Source organism: Homo sapiens, chromosome 19, assembly GCF_000001405.40.
Source record: "Homo sapiens chromosome 19, GRCh38.p14 Primary Assembly".
In the NCBI taxonomy this organism is placed as follows: domain Eukaryota; kingdom Metazoa; phylum Chordata; class Mammalia; order Primates; family Hominidae; genus Homo; species Homo sapiens.
This window is the reverse complement of record NC_000019.10, coordinates 23,314,797-23,340,381: the sequence shown is the minus strand read 5'-3', so window position 1 is coordinate 23,340,381 and position 25,585 is coordinate 23,314,797. Positions and strand designations below refer to the sequence as shown.

The window sequence follows — 25,585 nt, the reverse complement described above, 5'->3', positions numbered from 1 at the left end:
TGATCTTCTGTATTACTGTTGTATCCATTGTAATGTCTGTTCTTTTATATCTGATTTGTTTATTTAGATTTCTATTCTATTTGTGGTTAATCTAGCTAGCAATTTACCAATTTTGTCTTTTTGAAAAACCAACTCTTTATTCTGTTGGTCATTTTTATTGTTTTTGGACTTCATGTCATTTGGTTGTGTTCTGATTTTTATTTATTTCCTCTTCTAACTTGGGATTTGATTTGTTATTAATTTTCTAGTTCTTTGAAATGTGATGTCAGGTCCTTAATATGTAAGCTTTCTATTTTTTTGATGCAGGCCTTTAGGCTATTAACTTCCCTTTTAGTACTACATTTGATGTATCTCACAGGTTTTATTATATTGTGTTTCTATTTCCATCTTTTTTCCCACAAATTTTTAATTTTCATCTTAATTTTTTTTTTTTTTTTTTGAGATAGGTTTTACACTGTCACCCAGGCTGGAGTGTAGTGGCACAGTGTTGGCTCACTGCAACTTCTGCCTTCCAGGCTCAAACGATCGTTTTATATTAGCCTCCCGAGTAGCTAGGACCATAGGTGCACACCACCACACCTAGCTATTTTTTCATATTTTTTTTTGTAGGGACAGGGTTTTGCCATGTTGCCCAGGCTAGTGTTAAACTTCTTACCTCAGGTGGTCCACCTGTCTCAGCCTCCCAAAGTGCTGGGATTACAGGTGGGAGCCACCACCCCTGGTCAACCATCATAATTACTTCATTTACATAGTCACTGTTGAGGAGTATGTTATTTAAATTCTTTGTAAATTTATAGTTTCTGAAATTTCTCTTGATACTGATTTGTAGTTTTATTCTACTGTGGTCTAAGTAGGTAGTTCGTATAATTTTGATTTGGGGGGATACTTTGTTGATTTGCCAGATTTCCTATCTCAATGGTCTCTCTAATGCTGTGAGTAGAATGTTGAATTTCTCCACTATTATTGTATTACTGTCTATCTCGTTCTATAGATTTAATAATATTTCTTTGTAAATCAGGGTGCTGTGATGTTGGGTTCATATATATTTAGAATTGTTATATCTTTTGGCTGAAATGATTTCTTTATTATTGGATGATGATCTTTATCCTTTTTTGTTACAGCTTTTTAATTTAAAGTCTGTTTTATTTGATGTAAGTATAGATACTCCTATTTACTTTTGGTTTCTGTTTGTGTTAATATATTCCCCCCCATTTGCCTTTAATCTATATGTGTCTTACAAGTAAGGTGAGATTTTTGTAGGCAACATAGATTTGCGTTATTTTTTCTCATTCATTTCATAAATCTATACTTTTTTTTTTTTTTTGAGACGGAGTCTTGCTCCATCGCCAGGCTGGAGTGCAGTGGCGCGATCTCGTCCCACTGCTCACTGCAACCTCTGCCTCCCCTATTGAAGTGATTCTCCTGTCTCAGCCTCCTGAGTAGCTGGGACTACAGGCACACACCACCACGCTCAGCTAATTTTTGTATTTTCAGAAGAGACGGGGTTTCATCATATTCACCAGGCTGGTCTTGATCTCTTGACCTCGTGATACCCTCACCTCACCCTCCCAAAGTGCTGGGACTACAGGCGTGAGCCACCGCACCCAACCAAATCTATACATTTCAATGAAGGATTTAATTTATTTATATTCAAGGTAAATATTAATATGTAAGGTTTTGTTACTATCATAATGTTAATTATTTTCTTGTCTTATTTTTTTATCTGTCTTTGTAGTTTAATAAAATTCTGTCATGTTGTGATTTGATTTATTTCACTTTGTTTTGTTTTGTAAGACCTGTTAGTTTTATACTTTTATATATTTTAATAATGGTGAATATCAATCTCTTGTTTTTATATTAGAATTTTTTTTAACATCTTTCATAGGCCCAGTCTAGTGGTAATTAGTTTCCCCAGCATTTATTTGTCAGGGTAAGACTTTATATTCTTCATTTGTGAAGGTTATTCTAGCTTGATATAAAATTTTTGGCTGGCAGTTTTCTTTTTTTTCAACACTCTAAAAGTGCCATCCCATTCTCTTCTGGTCAGTAAAGTTTCTGCTGAGAAGTCTGCTTTTAATCTAATGTGGTTTTCTTTATAAATTACTAGATGCTTTTCTTTTGCTTATTTTAGAATTACTTCCTTCACTTTGACTTTAGATATTCTGATTATCATGTGCCATTATGATGTCTGTTTTGCAATATATTTTGTTTATATTTTGTTGTATTTTGTTTGCTGAGCTTCCTGTGTATGTATGTCTAATTCTATTGCTAGAGTTGGAAAGTTTTCATCAATTGTTTTCTTAAATAGGTTTTCTAAACTTTTTGATGTTTTTTCTTCCTCAGAAACACTGATAATTTTAAAGTTTAGTTACTTCATGTAGTTGGAAACAAAGTCTTCATTCTTTTTTATTCTTTTCTCCTTATTTTTGTCTGAGTGTATTATTTTAAAAGACCTGTTTAAAGGTTTGAAAATTATTTTTATGTTTCTTCCAGTCTATTATTGAATCTTTGAATGTATTTTCTTTTGCCTGCAATAAATCTTCAGTTCCATAATTTTTGTTTCAGTTTCTATTAAAAGATATCTATCTCCTTGGAACATTTCCCATTTGGACTCTAAATTTATTTATTTATTTTTGTACTGGTTTTCAGATTTCTCTTGCCTCTCTTTGAGTTTCTTTAAAATCTATATTTTGAAGTCTTTTTAAAGTATTTTAAAGCCATTTCAATGAATTTTTTTTTCTTAGAGTACTGGAGAATTATTGTGTTCCTTTGAAAGTGTCATAAGCCTTGCTTTTCTGTGTTTCCTGTGTCTTTATGTGTCTTTATATTGATTTCTGCACATCTGGAGAAATAGTTGTTTCATTTTATTTTCGAATTTACATTCATTGGAGGAAGTTTTTTTTTTTTTTTGAAGTTATTACCATAATGTTTATTGCATAGGGCCATGTGGCTTTACTTTTGGGTTTGTGCAGTGGGAAAGACTCTGTATGAGTTTCTTCAGTATAAACAAATATATATATATACACACACACATACACACACACATATATATACATGTCTGTGTATGTGTGTGTTTATAAATACATATATATATAAAACAAATGTTTTATTGGCTCGGGGTCATCTTTTCTCTTAGGTTGATTTTGAATTCTAAGTCTAAGTCTAAGTCTCAGAAAACAATAAATTTATCTTTGTTGTGTTGGTCATTGAGGGCCAGCACACCTGACATGAAAGAGTAAGAAGGTAGGGTGGGGTAGATGGTGAGAAATTACTTAATAGTTATAATGTACATTATTCGAGTGATGGATACCATAAAAGCCCTGACTTCACCACTATGCAATCTATGCATGTAACTAAATTATACTTGCACCCAACACATTTGTATAAATAAATTAAACACAACCACTAGTTAAAACTTGCTATCTTGCTTATTCATACATACAAATACGTTATAAATGTTTCCCATGACATTAACTATTATTGATACAGGAGTTAAAAGCAGGAGAACGGCATGAACCTGGGGGGCGGAGCCTGCAGTGGGCGGAGATCACGCCACTGCACTCCAGCCTGGGCGACAGCGAGAATCCATCTCAACAAAAACAAAAATGAATAAATAAATAAATAATTTAGGCAGATAGTGAGTGAGGGCAAAAACAGTCCTTGGTAAAGTTTTCCTTTTAATAAAAACCCCCAAATTATTTCTTTTTAACAAAGAGCAGCCTGTAAGATTGAGCTGCAGACATAGATAAGCGAGCTGGAAGCTTGCATGAATAAATGCCTGCAGCTCTGCTAATAGGAAAAGGAGCTACCTGGAAAGGACACATGTTCAAAATGGTGGCTCCATCTTCCCTTTTCTTTGTAAACCACGTGTAGAGTAACGAACAGGCAACATGGTGCTGGCAAGTGCTCCATTTGCATAATTGAAGATTAGCTAGCTTCCTCCTAAGCTGTGTAAACATCCATACCTGATCCAGCCAATCTTTGGCCCCTATGTAAATCAGACACTGCCTCCTGAAGGCAGTCTGTAAAATCCAGTGCACTTCTCTGCAAGCTAAAAGTCCCACTCTTTCTCAGGAGAGAGAGCTATTCTCCTTTCTCTTTCTTTTGCCTATTAAACCTCTGCTCCTAAACCAAGTTTTTCTGTGTCCATGTACTCGATTTCCTTGGTATGAGATGATGAACCTCAGGCATTCACCCCAAACAAGTGATTCCACTTCATTATGTTAAAATTAATATATTAGTTAAAATTACTATATTAAGAAATGTAGCACATTTTAAAGGCTGCTGATGCACAGTGTAAAACCTGCCATATACAAATATGACATCAAATTGTACTTCCGGTAACAGTGTTAGAAAGCTCTTGTTTCCCTACAATTATCATTTATGAAGAGTTTAATGGAACATGTTATTTTAAAAAGTATTTTCCGGGGTTCCAAGATGGCCGAATAGGAACAGCTCCAGTCTACGGCTCCCAGCATGAGTGACGCAGAAGACAGGTGATTTCTGCATTTCCAACTGAGGTACTGGGTTCATCTCACTGTGACTTGTTAGACAGTGGGTGCAGCCCATGGAGTGTGAGCTGAAGCAGGGTAGGGCATCACCTCACCCAGAAAGCGCAAGGGGTCGGGGAATTCCCTTTCCTAGGCAAGGGAAGCCGTGACAGATGGTACTTGGAAAATTGGGACACTCCCACCCTAATGCTACACTTTTCCAACGGTCTTAGCAAACGGCACACCAGGAGATTATATCCTGTGCCTGGCACGGAGGGTCCCATGCCCATGGAGCCTTGCTCACTGCTAGCACAGCAGTCCGAGATCAAACTGCAAGGTGGCAGCGAGGTTGGGGGAGGGGCGTCCACCATCGCTGAGGCTTGACTAGGTAAACAAAGCAGCCGGGAAGTTTGAATTGGTTGGAGCCCACTGCAGCTCAAGGAGGCCTGCCTGCCTCTGTAGACTGTGCCTCTGGGGGCAGGGCATAGCTGAAGAAAAGGTAGCAGAAACTTCTGCAGACTTAAACATCCCTGTCTGACAGCTTTGAAGAGAGTAGTGGTTCTCCCAGCACAGAGTTTGAGATCTGAGAATAGACAGACTGCCTCTTCAAGTGGCTCCCTGACCCCCGAGTAGCCTAACTGGGAGACAACTCCCTGTAGGGGCCAACTGACATCTCATACAGCCGGGTGCCCCTCTGAGACGAAGCTTCCAGAGGAAGGATCAGGCAGCAACATTTGCTGTTCTGCAATATCTGTTGCTCTGCAGCCTCTACTGGTACCCAGGCAAACAGAGTCTGGAGTGGACCTCCAGCAAACTCCAACAGACCTGAAGCCTGAGGTTCCTGACTATAACAAACCTCCACGCTATGCACATGTACCCTAGAACTTAAAGAATAATAAATAAAAAGTTTAAAAAATTCCAGTTAAAAAAATTCTTTTTTGGTATGTGAAAAACTGGCGTCTCATTATTTTAATATGCATTTTAGTAACTATTTAGGTAACTTGGTTTTATATATGTTTAGTGTACTACTTTTGAATTACCTAGTAAGGTCTTCTGCTTATTTTGCTACTGAATTATTTAACTTTTTACTGATTTGTATAAGCTTTTGGTAACCCCATTATAATAATCATTTGTTCAAAATTATTTTACATATATCTCCATTCAGCTCCTAGTGTTCATATTCAATGTTTTTGAGAGAAAAGAAGTCCGTCCCTTCTAAAATTGTCTACTCTCTAAGGAGTTTAAATAAGTACCAATTAGTAAATACAATTAGGGAAGTTTAAACATTGTCTAATTGAATTTGATTTGTGGAAAATAAATGTTTCTCACCTTCTATTATTATTTAACCATGTATAGGAAGGCAGCCAATACATTCTGGGCTGAAAAGTCTCTTTTTAAAAAGGGAAAATGTATTCTATCAAAAAGGGTACCAAATTACAAGTTTGCACTGCACGTTGCTGAACACATTGTCTTTTTTCAAGCTTAAACTTTCTAAAACGTTAGCAGTGTTCCCTCTGAAACACAGAGCTGCTCACATTACAGCCCTGCTCCAAAACATTTGATGGCTCATAACAGCCTACACAGCTGAGCCCCTCATCCATTTTCCTAAGGCCAGTATCTCTCATCATGCCAACTCTACACAACACTTCCAAACTATATTCTCTTGTCACACTCTACTTCTTGTCCTACCCTGTCCTCAAATAAGCCTTATATTTTAATACTTCAAGTCCTGTACTTAAACTACTTTTTTGCCTAAATTTACATTTCTTCTTTCCCACACTCTTCCTCTACACATGGAAAACATGTACATTTGAGGGTATCACCTTTTCTTTGCACTGCAACTTTTCACTTGCCAGTTCTCCACTTGTTCTTGCTGTTTGTGAGTCACTGGTGAATTTTAGAACTAGAACCATATTATATCAATCTTTATAGTTCCGCAGCCTGGTACCAGGTGTGGGCATCAAAAAATGGTTCCCAATCCAAGCTTGCTGAAAGTGATATTCAACAGATGACAAAAGAAAGGAGCCAGAATGCTGGTCTGCTAATCCACATTGCTTTCCACTATTGCTTTGCTGAAACTCTCCCAATGTCATGAGAAATATAACAATGATAATAATAATACTAGCAGTAAATAGAGAAGACAAGTCAGTTAAAATTGAGCTGGTAGCATGCATGACTTCATTTCTCTATTTATTCCTAGTTTCAAAATAGTCCTTATCCACAGATAGGAAGAAACAGGAAACAGACCCTCAAGTGCTTATCACAATGCAAGATTTCCCAATTTCATAACTTGTTCAGGCACCCTCATAAAAGAATCTAGGCACACTGGTGACCCCATCTCAAACATACTCAAAACACAGAAGGTCTTCCTCTCACTGTCCTCCAGTACATGTGGCTCCTCCTGCTTAAAAAGCAAAACAACAAAGAAATAATACCTCCCAGAGGCTATCACAGTTGAGCTTGGACAAATCTTTAGATTAGATGAGTAGTCAAGCCAATTCAATTGTTGCCTTTACTTGGCTCATATCACGTTATGAACTTTTTAGGATCACCCCAATGCAAATTCTGAGGCAAAACCTTGAGTTTCTATAATATGTAAAGTAACAATAACCTATTATAACAAACCAATAGACCTGTTCTCAAGGCGTTGGGCCTACCCAAAGCAAAACTAAATTTCCCAAACACTTATGAGTGTACAGTTTGAAATCTCTTCAAAAGGAGGTTTCATATGGGTCCTTGAATAGGGCTCAGCACTTCCAGTGAGGTTAAAAGTGGGTGTCCACAAAAAAGGTTTCAAAAGATAAGAGAGTCCCCCATGATCCACCACACAGAGGACCAGCAGAATCGCAGAGTCCATGCCCACCCTTTTTCACTTCTGGAATATTTCCCACCATGTGAAAGACCACCTCTTTTTCACACATTATCCTTTGCAATGAGAACATGGTAAAAATTTGATCCTTGACAGGCTTTGTTCAGGGTTTCACTCTTCTTTCCCACTGGGTCTCAGCCTGCTAGTATTCTGCTTTAGTGTCTTGTTGAACCTCCCCTCTTTAAGGGCACACAAATCCAAGTCAGTCAGTTCATGTAGTAACACGACCTATGCAAGCCCCTCAGTCCACAGAATACCAATCTCCATTCCTGATCATCACAGAAGGGAAGGTCCCACTTATGTCGTCAAATATTAGGTAAAATGAGGTGTTGACTAGGTAAGCTGTGATTTATTTCTGGAAATCAGGACCCTGTCCTGGCACACTTATACTTTTTCCTTGGGGTGCCCATCTTTTCGCTTGATGTGCCTAACAGGGAGAACTCTGCACACAGGAGATTTTCAGTTAGTATTTGTTTGGTGAACGAATCGTGTCTCTATGGTAGGTAGTCCGGCAGGGGTCAGAAGCACAGCCCTGGAGACAAACTTAACAGTTTGAGTTCTAATAGCTGGCTGCCTCCCTGGGTCTCTGTTTTCTCACGTGAATCCTGAGGATAATAATTACATCTACATCCCTCTGTCATGTAATGAATGAAAAAGATGATGTGTTAAAAAAAAAATTAGGATGCTGGTAGCTAGTGGTCAGTAATTGTTAGATCTTATGACTTCTGCTCTTACTGCCATCATGGTGAGTGTGTTTCTATGTAAAAAAGCTAACAACCAACAAAGGGTGAAAATTAAAGTTCAACTTTTGATTATTGACTTACAGACTGGATTCCTATCGATTAATAATAGGTCTAGCACAGGTAGAAGAGAAACAGAAAGATTTAACTTCTGGTTTATATGATTTAATGCAAATACAAACAAACCTGGCTAAGAAATGGTTTTCACCAAAGTTTGTCTGCAACTTGAATATTGTAGGTTAAACTTATTTAAAAGTACTCTAGACAGATTTGTTTGTAATAGAAGCATGTCATAGTTTCTGGTTAGGACTGGATTTCTGTTTATTTAATTTTCTGAAGAGACACCAGAGACAGCCCTAGCTACTATCAGACTTCTTAGAGACAAGCTGGGCAAATGAGCCCTTACAAAACTCCATTTACTGTAAAGATAATAATGAAATAAATAATAATCTCTAAACATAAGAATTTGACCAGTGTTAACCACTCCACTTCTCCAATACACTGATACTTCTCCCTTTCTCTTAGCATAACACAAAACAAACACATGACCACACACTATCCACTCTCCAGTGCAGAACAGAGTAACAAAGGCGCACAGCAAGCTTCAGAACACACAGACCACCATGTTCACCACATCTACATCTAGAGCTGCTTAAAAAAAGCCAAATCCATGAGAAACGGAGAAGATGAGTGACTACCCTGTTTTCAGCACTTACTGTCACAAGAAGACCAAACATACACACACACTCTCATTCTGAGGCACAGCATCCGCTTTCCTGAAGAAAGAGTAATTTTACAGCATATATCCTGATCTCACATTCTTAGCAACATGACACTGGCTTTGGGCATGCAAAGAATAGGCATATTACAGACAACCCTAAGACACATCGCATGGCCTGTATTACCAGATATAATTTTTAATTTCTCTGAAGTAAACTCAAATTACTTCTCTGAAGTAAACTCAAATTTCAAACTTGTATTTCTTTATTAACTTAATTAATTTCCTCAGGGACTTCACAGAAAATATATTCAACTTTCATTCACTTAGTCTTACCACAATAGAAGGTCTAACATATACAGAAGACAGCCATATGTAAGACATGCCCATACCCCAAAGCATAGAAAATGTAACACACCAGGGCCTTGAGGAAGCAGCACTATAACAGTGCAAATACACAAATATTTAGGAAAACTTACATCACCCAACAGACAGCATGTATGGTCACCATTATCCAGCACTCTCCAAAATAAGTAGCTATGAGTGGCTTATCTAAAAGTTGCCTTATATATACTTGTCACCACAAATTGTTTCTGAACATACTATTGATTCCAATTTTGGATATTCACAACATGGTAATTATCTGGTAAGATATATTTATGACTAACTTGTAATTAGACTTCTAAATGCATGCATACGCTTGGGTCACAGTGAGGCAAAAACTCTGAGTTATTTGTAGAGTACCTTAAGATTTAACTTTTCAAAAACCATATTTAAGCTTAGCTTTAGAAGTATTCTTCCCAGCATCCCTTCACCAAGCTATTTCAATTTTTTAAAGTGAGGAGTAGGGAGGGCTTTTTAAAGTATTATTCCTTTATATTCAGTTTCTCTTATCCCATATAGAAATGGAATAAAGCATGGTGTCCATCCTAATGATATTTATGGTGTGGTGATGCAGAATTATCCATGGGCTCAAGCAAGAGATGAAAAATCATATTCTCCCCAAAATGGGAAAATCAGTGCTACCAGGGGCCCAAAGGGATGTTCAGGTTACATCTGTCAGGATTAATACCATAACAGAGGACCATCTTTGGAGCACAGTGGGGCTCACCTCCGATTCTGGTGAGTCATGTGGATGACATCAGAGACAAGCATTACCCAAAATGAGCATCCCAATAAGACTTTCATGTGAGATGGTATTAGAAGACTTTCTTTCTTTTTTTTTTTTTCTTTTGAGACGAAGTCTGGCTCTGCTGCCAAGGCTGGAGTGCAGTGGCACAATCTCGGCTCACTGCAACCTCCACCTCCCAGGTTCCAGTGATTCTCCCACCTCGGCCTCCCGAGTAGCTGGGATTACAGGCGCCCGCCCCAACACCCGGCTGATTTTTATATATTTAGTAGAGGCGAGCTTTCACCATGTTGACAAAGCTGGTCTCGAACTCCTGACATCAGGTGATCCGCCTCAGCCTCCAGAAGTGCTGGGATTACAGGCATGAGCCACCATGCCTGGCCGCGAGTCCCAGTAAAACTTTTATGTGAGATGGTCTTAGAAGATGGTGGCCTAATTCACACGGAAGAGGATGGCTGTGCAGCCAAGTGAGACAGATATTTTTTCTCAGGAGCAGAAATCTTAAGGTAGAAGATGGTCACTCGCTGAGTAGTTGAGGCATGCCTTGATGGAACTCTCTGGGGGTCAGATTGCATGCTGTCTCCCTGAGTTGCATAAAGCACAGGACAGCCTGCCTGCACTCCAGCTTCTAGCATGTACCAACTCAGCAGACAACATCACTATTTTGTTTGCCATTAAAATACACAGTACTTTGTTTGCCATTAAAAAATATAGTACAATCTCAAGGACTGCTTAGGGGTAGGTAGAAAGTCTGTCATCACCAGAAGTATTTAAATGCTGGCTAGACAAATACTCTGTGGAAATAAGTTTCACTCTTTGTGAAAGGGGTAAAATGAATCATTTTCTTTGGCACTGACAGAGCTAGTGAAGATCTTAGCATCCAGTAGATAAACAGCAACTTCCGTTTACTACATAAACTTTATTTTCACAGATTACTGCTGAAGCAAAATATTGATACATCTCTAAGACATTAAGCATATCACAAGACCACTTATGTTCTTCATGGGCTTTCAATTAAGAAATGACTTGAAAAATCAGGCCTTGAAAGGAGTTCTGATGCTCCTAATTAGCATCAGAACTGCTCTGATGGGCTTAAGCCATCCTGAGAGTCCTAGCTTGCTTCCTACCCGAAGTCTCTTCTCATGAATCCTATGCTTCCAAGTCAAACAGATAAAGCATCACTAAATCAAATACAAACTTCAACACTCTTAACATTTAGGTGTACATCTCATCTGAAAATCATTCAAAAGCTCAGGTCATCTACAAGAAATCTTTTCTTTGCATTTTAGTATCAAAAAATTGAAAGAAGGAAAAGAATAGGAGAAAGCCATTTATTTTCATAGAATGTAATTTATTTTCAAGAATGTAACATTGGTTTATCAGTTACATAAGTACATTTAATGCGTCATCCATGCCAGGTACATAATTTTTAACCAACTAAAACACATTACAAGTGGAGAAATAGCTAAAAACATGGAAAACATATACATAACTCTTTAAAGGGTAGGGAACATGCCCTGTTCATATACATTGCTTAATCCAGCATTCCAGTCTCAATGAGGCACCACCATCCACCCAGCTATAAAATCCAAGATCAGGAAGTTATCTATCCCTTCCCCACACCATCCAATCAGCAAGCCTCTCTTACCTCTTAAACCTTTATCAAATCCATTTGAGCTCCCATCTTTACTGTCACGATGCTGCAGGCCATCACTGCTTTTCAAAGTTTTCATAAACTAGCCTTCTAACTGATCTTCCAAACAGAAGGCCAATCATTATTTCCTTCTACCTGGTCTATTTACTACTTGGGTAAAAATAGTCCTTAGCATGCAAATTTCATCATACTACTTTTTGGCCCAACAGTTTTCAAAGCTTTCCAGAGTTCTTACAATCTGCTCTAGCCCCTATCTACTTCATCATTCCTGTCATTCACCTCATTCAGTGTCTTTTCTTCTTCCAGACACTGTACTTCCCCCATTTCCCTGACACATCCACCTTTTCAACCTCAGGGCTTTTGTACCAGCTGTTCTCTGAAGCATTCTTTTTCCTTCTATCACACATCCTTCAGATATTAGCTCAAATGTTACTTCCACAGGATGCCTTCCTTGACCTGCATCCTGGCATCCTCCATTCCTCTCCCATACACAAAGGCCAAACTTTACTTCATAGCTTCTTGTCATACTTAACTTTGAGCAGTTAACACTGATAGAAGTGACCTGTTCATGGCTAGATGAGTCTCTCTCATTGTGATCTATCTTTAATGAGATTAGCAACTGTATGTCTTTGCCATACCGGTAGGCTTGGTGGTAAAGACAGAACCTTCACAAGCAGATATTTGGATATTTATGGACTAAATACAGATCTGTAAAAGTAAAAAAAAAAATGGGAATGGTAAATTTGGTAGTAAAAAACTGTCTTCTAAAAGGAGGCTAAGTCCGATAGAAAAAAATTGTACTTAGGAAAATTAAGTTGTGAAACCTTAAGCTTTTGAACACAAAAATCGTTCTTTGAAAACTTAATTTCATAATTTAAACACAAATCAAATTCAGAGAAACACAAGTTAAGACTCCTTTAAGTTACTCTTGGTTTAAAACTTTGACGTAGAATATTTTAACCAAATACATATAGATTTAACCAACCAAATCACAGAAAACCTGTTCGGGTTGTTAATTAAACCATTATAAACCACTTAACAAACAATTAAAACTCTAAAGTAAAAGATAAAATGGCTTAAAAAAATCTATTTTCTGTATCACAGAGGAAAATACACAAGCCTCCTCAGAAATGAAACTAAGTTAGAATCTTATGTCTAAATGTATCTGCCAGGTATGAGTCTAAATACTAGTTAGCATGTAAGCACTTATTAAAAGACATTTAAAGTTAGTAACGTATCTTTAATCAATCAGGATTTCATCTTGTATAAAGATACTAAGGATACTTCACCCATAATGCAAACTTTTTCTTTGTTAAAAATTTATTGTTTGACAAAAAAAACCCATTCAAATGTTTCACCTCGTGTTTCAGAACACCTACCTTATCTTCTGGGTATCCCTTTTATTTCTGAAGATACATGTACCTCTTTTAAAAGAAAGTTAAATTTTTGATTTTTAGTAGTTAGAACAATGCTTTGTTGTTTTTAACAATAAAGTATCAGGGTAAAGTATGTTCTCCTAAAACAGTACACATGATTCTTTTTATAAATATGATATATAATCAATTATTATCAAGTATGTACATTGCACACACATCAAGCAAGATTTATACCCTGTAGGTTTCTGGTATTGCATTCAATTTTTAAAACCAAGAATTATGGAATAAAGAGAATTTATGTACAAAGCAACACTCCTATTAACTCATGCCACTAGTGAAACAAAACTCTAAATAAGTAGAGAAAACGGGTTCACACATTGGAGCTCTGAAATGATCTGGGTCCTTTATCTGTGCATTTATTTTTCCTATTGAATTTGAAGTTCAAACCAAAATCCATTAAAAATGTTTAGAATTATTAAAGGCCACAGTGTGACAGCTTTTAGTGCAAGCAGGCATTAGCAAGCATTTTCTTTTCTCTTTAAGCTGAGCCAGCTTTTGTTTTAGAATTTCTGTAATTCAACAGTATTTCCCACCAAAGCACCAAAATCTTTTCCACCTTGCAGCAAACTACTGCATGACAGATGTGCCAAAGTTGTTAGTTTATACCCACTTCCTTTGCTGAATGTGTAGTAATAGTTAGGCCTTAGCTTCCAATTTACATGATGGTATTCTCCAAAATCTTCAAAAATTTCATTTTTATATCGGAAATCAGCATGCAAGTCCAGGCATGGTGTCTTATGCCTGTAATCCCAGCATTTTGCCAGGCCAAGGCAGGCGGCTCACCTGAGGTCAGGAGTTCAAAACCAGCCTGACCAATGTGGTGAAACCTGTCTCTACTGAAAATACAAAAATTAGCTGGACGTGGTGGTGGGTGCCTGTAATCGGAGCTACTTGGGAGGCTGAGGCAGGAGAATTGCTTGAAACCGGGAGGCAGAGCCTGCAGTGAGCCAAGATTGTATCACTGCACACCAGCCTGGATAACAGAGCAAGACTCCACCTCTCAAACAAGTAAAATAAATAAATCAACATGTAGTAGTCAGTGAGCACCAACCATGCAATTGTGCTAGGTACAGAAGATGGAAAAAATATTCTTGAGGTGGGAGAAACATGTTAACAGATAAATTACAGCAGACAGACTTGATAGATGGGGGTAAAAGTTATTAGGAACAGAAGGCCTAATTTTCCCTAGAAAAGGTAGTATTTGAGATGGGTCTCAACAGAAGAGTAAAGAGTAAATATTCTTTGCTGGGGGAAGGGGATGGAGACAAAACAAAAAGAACAACCCGTGCAACAACAGAGGCAGTAAAGAATTATTCAGTGTGGCAGTGATGTGGAAGACAGAGACAAGAGCCAAGACTAGCAATTTGGTTTGGAAGCAGATGAGGGTCTTTGTAAAACAAGTGAAGGAGTTTGGATTTTTCTTTTTGTAGACAACAGGGAGGGAAGAGATGTTATTAGGCAGGCAAACAATGAGAGCAGCTTTCATTTTTGAGGATGATGACTCTGGCAGCAGGGTGGAAGATAAACAGCAGTAGAGAGAAACTGGAGGCAGAAAATTAACTCAAGAGGTACTTATGACTCAATGAGGACCTTAGGTCAGAAGTGATTAAACAGCCAAAGTCAGTGACCGGAGCATGGTTTTGGGGAGAGCCTGGTGACTGATTGGACATGGGGGTGAGAGAGACATGCATCAGGACAGCCATCAGTAATGTTCCTGGCCTAGTAGGTTGTGTACATGGCAATCACCTTCCAGAAGGAATGGAGATTACTTTCATTTTTACAAGTACTTGCAGGGTGAGCGACTTGTAGTGTGATCAAGATGACAAAAGATCACTGCTTCAGAAAAATTGTAAGTGAAAATATAGAGTTAGAGTTGTCAGTTTATAGGTTAGAGGAGAGGGCACAAAAGCACCAGAATGCACAGGGCACTCTGCAGGAACAGAACTCACGCCCAGGTATGGGACCACAAAGGTTGCTGCAGAGAACAGGCATTGGGCACCTGGCAACTGACACCAATGGGATGCTTACAGTCTGTCCACTGATTTAAGAATTGTAAAACAACTATTCACAAGTGTTGCACATGTCTCTAAGGTAAGTGGGAGCCCAGACCACTTTGGGGGCAACTGTCTGCTTACTGCACGCAGCCCTTTCTTTTCTGGAATTTAGTCTCCTCATCATCCTGCCTTCTCCCTTGCCTATCTCCTGCTTGTGTAATAAAGTGGAAAGTGGAAGGGCAGAACAAGGCTCAGATCAGTGGCACTTGTTTGCTAAAAGTATACTAGACAGTTCTGGTGTGAGGCCTGGGGTCCCAGATCATATAAATTATCACTGTCTCCTTTATTGCATCCCTGTATTATCCCCATCCCTCTCAGCCAGGGTAGCTGGCTGACATCCACTCTCTCAAGAGGACATGCATGGACAGAAGACCTGGCTCAAGAAACAGCGCTCTATGAAAAGGGCGGATAGTTATGTAACAATTTTGCAAAAACTTGAGAAATTAAAATAAGGGAGACTATGAATGCAAAAACATTAGAGAGCTTGCGCCCAGAAGTTTCAGACCAGACTAGGCAACGTGTTGAGACCCCGTCACTAAAAAAGAATTTAGTCAGGTGTGATGGGCCACGCCTGTAGTCCCAGCTACTCGGGAGGGTGAGGTGAGAGGATCTCTTGAGGCTACAGTGAGTCATAATCTTGTGCCACTGCACTGCAGCCTAGGTGACAGAGCAAGATTATTTCTCATAGAATATATCTATAAATATATATGTGTATATATATATGTATACATACGTATATACATACATATGTATATACGTATATATATATATATACTTGGCCGCCTGAGTTAGGCCGGATTAGTACTATCCTCCAAAAGCTAATATAAATGCACATCAGTTCTTTCTAGCGCAGCGCTGAAGAGGGTGCCACTACTTGTGCTGGGTGCTGTTTGGCATGGCCAGTGGCACAGTAAGAGAAGGAGTAGGAGTGGAGGAGTGAAGAAAGAGGAGGAGGAGAAGAGAAGAAAAGGAGGAGGAAAGAGAAGAACTAGAAGAGAAAATGAGAAGAAGATAGTAAGAAGAGAGGAAGTGGAGAAAAAAAGGAGAGGGGGACAACAGGACCAGGAGAGGAGAGGAGAAAAGGGAAGCTAGGAGGAAGTAGGGAGAAAAAAGGAGGAGAAGAAGAAAAGAATGAGGAAAAGAGAAGAGGACGAGAGGAGGAGGAGAGGATGAGAAAAAGAGGAAAGGAGGAAAGGAAGAGAAGGAGGAGGAGGAGAAGGAGGAGTAGAGGAGATGGACAAGGAGGAGGAGGGGACAAGGAAGAGGAGAAGACGAAGAGAAAGGAGAGGAGGAGAATCGGGAGCAGAAGAAGGAGGAGGAGATGAAGAGGTGAAGGAGAGGAGGAGGAAAGGAGAAGAGAAGGAGGAGGAGAAAAGAAAGGAGTGGAGAAAGAGGAGAGGAGGAGAAAAAATAGGAAACGAAGAGGAGAAGAATAGGAGGAGGAAAAGGATGGGAGAAAAGAAAAAGGAAAAGTAGGAGGAGTAGAAAAAGAGGAGAAGGAGGAAGAAGAAAGAGAAGGAGGAGACGAAAAGAATGAGAAAAAGAGGAGAGGAGAATGAGGAGAAGGCGTAGAAGAAAAGAAGGAGGAGAGGATAAAGAAGGAGAAGTAGAGGAGGAGGAGAGAAGAGGAAAGGAGGAGGAGAGGAGAAGAGAAGGAGGAGGAGAAAGGAGAAGAGAAAAGGAGGAGGAAAAGAAGGAAAAGGAGGATGGGAGGAAGAGAAGAGGAAAAGGAAAAAGGAAGAGGAGAGAAAAAGGAAAAGGAGGAGAAGAGTAGAGGAGAAGAAAGGAAAAGGAGGATGATAGGAAGAAGACGGAGGAGAAGAGGACAGAGAAGTAGAGGAGAAAAAAGGAAAAGAATGGGGAGAAGGAGGAAAGTAGGAACAAAGAAAAGGAGGGGGAAGAGAGTAGGAGGAAGAGGAAGGGAAGAGGAGGAAAGGAGGGGGAGAGGAGGAGGAGGACGAGGAGAAGATGGAGAAAAGGAAGATGAGGAAGAGAAGGAGGGGAGGAGGAGAGAAGAAAGAAGAAAAGGAACAGGAGGAGAGGAGAAAGGAGAGGAGAAGAAGGAGAGAAAGGAAAAGTAAGAGGAAGAGGAGAATGTGGATAGGAGAAGGAGGAAGAGAAAAAGGTGGAGAGGAGGAGAGGCGAAGGAAAAGGAGGAAGAACTGAAAAGGAGGAGAGGAAAAGGAGACAAGGGGAGGGGAGGAGGAAGAAAAGAAAAAAACGGGAGGATGAGGAAAGGAGGAGGAAACAAAAAGGAGAAAGGACGAGGAGAAAAAGAGGAAAAGGAGGAGGAGAGATGGAAGAGGAGAGGTGGTGGAGGGGAGTAAAAAGGAGAGGAGGAGGAAGGGAAGAAAGATGAGAGGAAGAAAAGGAGAGGAGGAGGAAGAAAGGGGAGAAGTGGAGGAGGAGGTGGGGGAGAAGTGGAGGAGGAGGTGGGGGAGAAGTGGAGGAGGAGGTGGGGGAGAAGTGGAGGAGGAGGTGGGGGAGAAATGGAGGAGGAGGTGAGGAAGAAGAGGGGAGAAAGAAAAAGGAGCAGGAGAACATGAATGGGGAGGAAGAAGAGATGAGGAGAGGAGGAGAAAAGTGAGGAGGAGAAGACGAAAAGGAATGGAGGAGATGGAAAGGAGGAAAAAGGAGGAGGAGGAGAAAAAAGTTATCACTTTGTGACAGTAATTATGACTCTTTTCATGGCTTTTGGATTAAAGTTCAAACTCAACAGGAGAGACACACAGATAAAAAATCCAGATTATTTCAGAGCTCAATTTCAGAGCTAAAGGAAAAGATATGTGGTAATACACCTGTGGACGTTGCCAATGCAAAACAGTTGCATTGTTTTGGTTTTGGATCCAGACATATGTCACCATAGGCAATGTATGCAGTGCCTAGGAGAAAGTAGAGAGCCACAACAGTTAGGTGCTGGGCCTAGTGATACATCACAATCCCTTTTTGGTCAGAGACCAAACAGTAGAGGAGAGCCATATCACCTAGGTTCTAGGTCCAGCAATACATCACAATACTTTCTGAGAGGAAGACCAAAGCAGGAGCGCCACATCACCTAGGTTTGAGAGCCCCAGAGATATGGCACAATGCCTTCTGTGGGTAGGGCTCAGGAAGAAGAGGAAAGTTACGTAACCTAGGGGCTACAGCCAGCTATATGTCACAATCACCCCCAAGGGGCAGGGACGATGCATGAGAGGAGAGTCACATCAAGTAGGTGGTGAGCAAAGCAATATGTAACAATCAGAGGAGAGTGTCATCTCCTACATGCTGGGCCATATGTTACAACATCCCCTATGGGCAAAGCCCAGGTAAGAGAAGAGATACACATCAAATAGTTGATGGGCTAAGAGATACTTCTCAATGCCCCCTGTAGAAAGAGATGAGGAGAAATAAATCAGATTGCCTGTGTTCTGGGCCCAGGGATAAGCCACTATTTCATCTATGGACGTGGCCCAGGCGGGTGAGGAGAGTTACATCACTTAGATGCTGGGAACAGAGATATGTAACAATCTCTTCTATAAGCAAGACCCTGGTAAGAAAAGAAAGATACATCAAATATTTATGGACCCACAGATGCCCCCTTTTTGACAGAGTCAAGGCAAGAAAGTCACATCACCTTGGTCCTGGGCCCAGCAATAGGTCACAATACCTTCTGAAGACAGGGCCAAGGCAAATGAGTAACATCTTGGAGCTGGGCCCAGGATATATGTAACAATCTCCCCTGTGGGCAGAACCTAGGAAGAAGAGAAGTGTCACATGAGCTAGGTGCTGAGCCCAGGGATATGTCACCATCCCTCCAAGCAAGAGATGAGAGTACATTACCTGGGTGAGGAGTGCAGGGAGATATCACAATCCCCTTTTTAGGCTGGGCCCAGGCAGAAGAGTCACATCGCCTAAGTGTTAGAATGAGTGATGTGTCACAATGTCCCTTCTGTGCAGCACCAAGGTAGGAGAGAAAACTTACGTCACCTGAGTGCAAGTCCCAGCGATATGCCACAATGCCTCCTGTAAGAGGCACCAAGGCTTGAGAATAGAGTCATCTCGCCTAGGTTCTGGGTCCAGCAGTATATCACCATTCTACTTGTGAACGAAGCCCAGGCAGGAGAGTCAAATCAGGTGTTTGGCTGAGGCGTATGTCACAATCACACCTTCAAAAAATCCACAGATGAGATTATCAATCCCTCACATGTTCTGGTTCTAGGTATGAGAGTCAACATGTCTTGTATGTTGTGTGAAGTACATGAGTCACAATCTCAACTGTGAACTGGATCTGTGCAGCAGCTTCTCAATGTTTTCTGGGCATTGTGTCCCCTTAGATAAGTCGCAGCCTGACACGTGTGCTAAATTATGGTTTGAAGGTCAACAAATCCATGCATAACAAAAATCCATGTATGAGAGTCAACATTGCAACTTTTGACTGCCTCTAGATATAAGATTCAAATCCTCAACAGTGGGCCATGCTCATGTGAGAGGACAACAATCTTTACTCTTGACTGTGTCTGCTTACTAGTATTACAATCTCACCTTTGAGCTGGGCTCTGTTAGTACACTCTCTGTACCACCCAAAGAATTTATGAGATACATGGTTTGGCTCTATGTCCTCACCCAAATCTCATCTACAATTGTAATCTCCATGTGTCAAAGCAGGCAGGTCATTGGATCATGGGACAGTTTCCCCCATACTGTTTTTGTGATAGTGAGTGAGTTCTCAGAGATCTGATGGTTTTATAAGTGTTGGAAGTTCCTTCTTTATTCACTTTCTCCCTCCTGCCACCTTGTGAAGAAGGTTCCTGATTCTCCTTCTGCCATGATTATAAATTTCCTGAGGTCTCCCCAGCTATGTGGAACTGTGAGTCAATTAAATCCCTTTTCTACCTAAATTACCTGGTCTTGGGCAGTTCTTTATAGCAGTGTGAAAATGAACTAATACAATATGATATGCATGAGAATTGCAATCTGCATTAAGACCTTCATGCTGATATGAGCCCATGATTGTACGTGTCAGTCTAAGCTCAGGTATGAGAGTCAACACCTCCCCAATTGGCTGTGTCTAAATAGAAGAGTACTCATGTGCCTATGAGCTGGGTTTAGAAATGGGTCACTATCCCATAAGTGTCCAGATGTTCACATATGACTGACACAATTCCATCTGTAGACTGTGTCTACGTGTGAGATTCAGGATCTCACCAGTGGGTTGTGTCCATGTGTGAGGATGACTATTTTAAGGATTGGCAGGGTGTGCATACCAGAAATACAGTATTTCTTGTGTCCTTGGACCTGTGATGACACTCTCTGTACCACTTGTGGGCTTTATACAACATGCAAGAGAGTGGTAAACCTCTGTGACCTTTGTACAAAGAGGACACCCAGGATCTTACCTTTTTCCCTGAGCCTTGCTATAAGAGACAGTATCTCTCTCATTGGCTAGTTCAAGGTATGAGAGTCATCATCACCTGTGAGCTGGGCCAAGATATATGTCACAATCACTCATGGATTGGGAGTAAGCAGGAGAGTAACATTACCTTGGTTTGGGGCCAGATATATGTCACAATCTTCTGTGAGGGCTCAGCAATATGTCACAATGATCTACGTATTCAAGACTCAGTCAAAAGAGCCTCACCACCTTGTCGCGGGGTCCAGTGATGTGTCATAATCTTTTCTGTTAGGAGGGTGCAGGCAGAAAAGAAGAGTCACATGTCCTAGGTAGTGTATGCAGATATATGTCACAAGGCCCACTGGGCAGGGCCCAGGCAGGAGCCTCTTATTTTCTAGGTGTTGGACCCAGTGTTATTTCACAATACACCAAATATTTGGGGCCTGGGAGAAAGGACAGTCACATCACATAGGTGCTGGGCCAAAAGATATGTTATAATAACCCTCTTTAGCAGAGCCCAGGCAGAAAAATAAATGTGTCACATCACCCAGGTGATAAACAAAAAGGTATGGCATAATACCCCTATGGGCAGGGCTCATGCAGAAGAGTTGCACCACATAGTTGTTAAGATAGGCCATATGTCACAATACACAATTTATGCTGAGCTCAGGCAGGAGAAAAGAGTAACATTACCTATGTGCTGGGCTCAGCGATACGTCACAATACCTCCTTGGTCAGAGCCCAAGAAGTAGAAGAGAGTTACCTCACCTAGGTGCTGAGTCCATCAATATGTCACAGTACTCACTGAGTGAAGGGCCCAAGAATGAGGATTGCATCATTTAGGTGAGGGGCCCAGAGCTATGTACCCATGCTCCCTGTAGGTAGGGCTTAGGAAGAAAGAAGAGAGTCACATAACCTGTCACATAACCTAGACAGATGAGCCCAGCCCTATGTCAAAATTACAACAGTGATCAGAGTCCAGACATGAGAGGAGAATCACATCACATAAATGTTGGGTGAAGGAATATGTCACCATCCCTACTGGGGACAGAAGCAGAAAAATAAGGAGAATTACACCATCTAGGTAATGGGCCCAGAGATACATTGCAGTGACCCCTGTGGGCAATGACCAGGCAGTAGAATCACATCACCTGTGTGTTGGGCTTAGGGATAATTCACTCTACCTTCTGTGGGCATAGCGCAGGCAAACAAGGAGAGTCACAACACCTAGGTACTGGAATCAGAGACGTGATAATCTCTTCTAATGGCAAAGACCAAGTAAGCAAGAAGAGTCACATCAAATAGTTCATGAACTTAGAGATATGTCACAATGCCCCCTGTGGGCAGGGTCCAGGCAAGAGACTCACATCATCTTGGTGCTGAGCCCAGCAATATGTCAGAAAGCTTTCTGAGGTCAGAACCAAGGCAAAAGTGTAACATCACCTTACCGTTGGGTCCAGAGACACATCACAACCTTTCCTGCAGGCAGAACCTAAAAAGAATAGAAGAGTCACATCAACTCAATGCTGGGCCCAGTGATGAGTCACAATATCCCCTGTGAGCAGAGATCAGGCAGAAGTGAGTCACATCACCTAGGTAATGGATGCAGAGATGTCACAATGCCTCCTGTAGGCAGGGACCAGGCAGGAGAGTTATATCATCTGAGTTTTGGACCCAGTAATATATCACAATGGGCCATGTGGGCAGGGTACAGACAGGAGAATCACATAACTTGGGTGTCACAATGCCTTCTGTGCACAGTGACAAAACAGAAGGGTAGACTCATATTAACTGAATATAAGGCCTAGTGACAGTGATATGTCACAGTGCTGTCTGTGGGCGGTGCCAAGGCAGTGGACTAGAGTCCCATCATGAAGGTACTGGGTTTAGCAAGATGTCAAAATTCCATCTGTGGGATGGGCTCAGGCAGAAGGGTCAAATCACTTAGTTGCTGGACAGAGGTGTATGTCACACAATCTCACATGCAGAAAGATATAGGGATAAAATTAAAATTCTTGCACATGACCCAATTCTAAGTATGGGAGTCAACATCTCCTCTATGTTGGGTCTAAATACATGAGTCACAATCTTAATGGTGGACTAGGTCTGTGCGTGGGAACCTCGCTTTCTTCTGTGCACTATGCCTCCTTAGTAGAGTCACAGCCTCACAGGTGTGCTGAATCTTGGACGGAGAGTCACCAGCCTACCTGTGGACTGGATCCACATATAAGAGTCACTTTTTCAAGTTTCGACTGCCTCCAAATGTGACGTTCAGAACCTCAAAAGTTGGCCGTGTTCACGTGGCAGTATGACAATCTTTATTGTCAACTGGATGTGCATACAAGAGTCAAAATCTCACCTGTGCTGTGCCTTGTCAGGAAACTCATTGTAGCACCAGAGGGCTTTATGCATGAGAGTCTCAATATGCTCTGAGATCTCCCTGCTGGTGTGGACCCATGTTTATAATTTTTACCCTAAGCTCTTGTCTGGGTCAACTTCTCTCCAATTGGCTAGGTCCAAATAGGAGCATCCTCACCTACCTATGAACTAGGTTTAGAAATGAGTCACCTGGCCGGGCGCGGTGGCTCACACCTGTAATCTCAGCACTTTGGGAGGCCGAGGCGGGCAGATCATGAGGTCAGGAGATCGAGACCATCCTAGCTAAGACGGTGAAACCCCGTCTCTACTAAAAATACAAAAAATAGTTAGCCAGGCATGGTGGCGGGTGCCTGTAGTCCCAGCTACATGGGAGGCTGAGGCAGGAGAATGGCATGAACCCGGGAGGCGGAGCTTGCAGTGAGCCAAGATCGCGCCACTGCACTCCAGCCTGGGCGACAGAGCGAGACTCCGCCTCAAAAAAAAAAAAGAAAAGAAAAGAAATGAGTCACCATCCCAACTGTAGCATATGACGGAAACAATTCCAGCTGTGGTCTGTGTTGACGGAAACAATTCCAGCTGTGGTCTGTGTCGACCTGTGAGATTCAGGACCTCACCTGTGGGCTCTGTCCACGTGTAAGGGTGAAAATCCCAATGGATGGTAGTGTAAGAATATGAGAAACCCAATCTCATTTGGATGCTGGGCTCTGTGATGGCATTCTGTTCCACACTAGGGATTTACACCATGTATGAGAAAGTGGTAATTTTCTATAACCTTCATACAAAGAGGAGACATGGGATCTTACCCTTTTCTCTAATCCCAGCTAAAACTGACAGTATCCTTTCTATTGGCTGATGTGTGGCATGAGAGTCGTTATTGCAACTGTTAGTTGGACCAAGATATATGTCACAGTCTTACCTGTGGGTAGGGAGCAAACAGGAGAGTCACATCACCTGTATTCTGGGCCAGGAATATGTCACAATCTTCCCTGACACAAGGGACCAGGCAGAAGAGTCACATCACCTGGGTACTCAGCCAGGAATACGTTACAACCCCTGCAGGGTGCAGGCTGCAGAGTCACCTCACCTCAGTAATAAGCCCAGCAATATGTCAAAATGCTTTCTGTGGGCAAGGCCCAATTACGAGAGACACATCGTCTGTTTGCTGATGCCAGCAATATGTCACAATCTTCCCTGTAAGCAGGGTTCAGGGAGAAGAAGACAGCCACATCTCTTAGGTGATTAATGCAGAGATATGTCACCAGATCCACTGTGGACAGGCCCCAGGCGGAGCCTTCCATTTTCTAGGTATTGGGCCCAGCAATATGTCACAAAACCCAAAACATGTGGGGACCAGGCAAAAAAAAAAAAAAAATCACCTCACCTAGATGCTGGGTCAAGTGATATGTCACAATCTTCTTATTTGGCAGGTCCCAGGCAACAAAAATGTGTCACATCTCCTAGGTGATGAATAAATTGTATCATATAATACCCCTGTCTTCAGGGCTCATGCAGAAGAGTCGCATCACCTACTTGTTGAGTCCAGCCATTTATTACAATACACAATGTATGTTGGGCAAAGGCAGGAGAGGAGAGTAACATCCCCTAGGTGCTGCATCCAGGGATACACACAATGCCTCCTTGAGCAGAGCCCAAGAAGTAGAGAAGAGTCACATTACTTAGGTTCTGGGTACAAAAATTTCCTACAATACTTCCTGAGAGAAAGGCCTAGACAGAAGTGTCACATGACCTTGGTGAGGGGACAAGAAATATGTAGCAATGTCTCTGGTAGGTAGGGCTAGAAAAAAAGAGAGGCCTCATATAACATAGAGTCAGTGCTCACTTATCTGCCACAATCACACCCATGGGCAGGGCTCAGACAAAAGTGGAGAGTAATATTATGTAGGTGCTGCACCAGGCAATATGTCACAATTTCCACTGTGGACAGGTCCAAGAAAGAAAACGAGAATCACATCACCTAGGTCAGGTCATGGGCCCAAAGATATGTTGCAGTGGCCCTTGTGGACAATAACCAGGCAGAGGAATGACATTGCTTGTGTGCTGGGCCTAGTGGTAATTCATTATCCCTTCTGTGGGCCTGACACAAGCAAAAGAGAAGAGTCACAACACCTAGCTGCTTGGCCCAGAGATACGTCACTATCTCTTCTATGGGCAGAGTCCAGGTAAAACAGCAGAGTCACATCAAATAATTGGTGTGCCCAGAGATATGTCATAATGCCTTCTGTTGGCAGGGCCCATGCAAGAGAGTCACATCACCTAGGTGTTGGACCCAGCCATATGTCACAATACCTCAGGCAAGAGATGATAGTCACACCATTTAGGTCTTGAATCCATTGAAACATTACAATTTTTCCTTGAACAAAGGCTAAGCAGTCAAAGAGAGTTACACCACCTGCTTTAGGTCCAGCAATACCTGACCCCTGAGAGGAGGGCCCATGTAAAACGATAACATCATCTAGGTGAGAGGCCTAGAAATATGTCACAATTTTCTGTGTGGGTAAAGATCAGAATGAAGAGGGAAGTTGCATAACCTAATAGGTGGGCTGACGTATATGTCACAATCACTCCAGTGAAAAGAGTTCAAACATGAGAGAAGAGTCACACCACATAGGTGCTGCATATTTTGCAATACAGAATATATGCAGAGCCCAGAAAGGAGAGGACAGTCACATCACCTAGGTGCTGTGCCCAGCAATAAATTGCAATCTCTTTTAGGGCAAAGCC

General features: G+C 41.3%; 1 protein-coding gene and 1 long non-coding RNA gene across 7 annotated transcripts in view, besides 1 other annotated feature; one reads left to right on the top strand and one right to left on the bottom strand.

The window, feature by feature from the left end:
• Window positions 1-25,585, top strand: part of ZNF91 (zinc finger protein 91) — a 90,468-nt gene that overhangs the window by 55,090 nt on the left and 9,793 nt on the right. For 2 of the 6 annotated variants that reach the window (XR_007066982.1, XR_007066978.1), the window contains one exon: window positions 1,328-22,341. The exons of 1 other annotated variant lie outside the window; for it this stretch is intronic. The gene's annotated coding sequence lies outside the window, so the exon portion shown is untranslated. The remainder of the gene's footprint in view (window positions 1-1,327; window positions 22,342-25,585) is intronic. 3 more of the 6 variants (XR_007066980.1, XR_007066979.1, XR_007066981.1) reach the window with 2 other exon arrangements.
• Window positions 16,666-17,459: an enhancer, noted in NCBI's record as "H3K27ac hESC enhancer chr19:23505725-23506518 (GRCh37/hg19 assembly coordinates)". NCBI's record gives its function as "activates a minimal SCP1, AML or CMV promoter by ChIP-STARR-seq in naive H9 embryonic stem cells {active_cell/tissue: H9 hESC(naive)}" and the evidence as "EXISTENCE:reporter gene assay evidence [ECO:0000049][PMID:30033119]".
• Window positions 21,868-24,309, bottom strand: LOC107985285 (uncharacterized). The gene is made up of 3 exons (XR_002958408.2): window positions 24,225-24,309; window positions 23,647-23,759; window positions 21,868-21,956 (listed from the first exon to the last, which is right to left on the bottom strand). It is a non-coding gene; the product is annotated as an uncharacterized LOC107985285 (long non-coding RNA).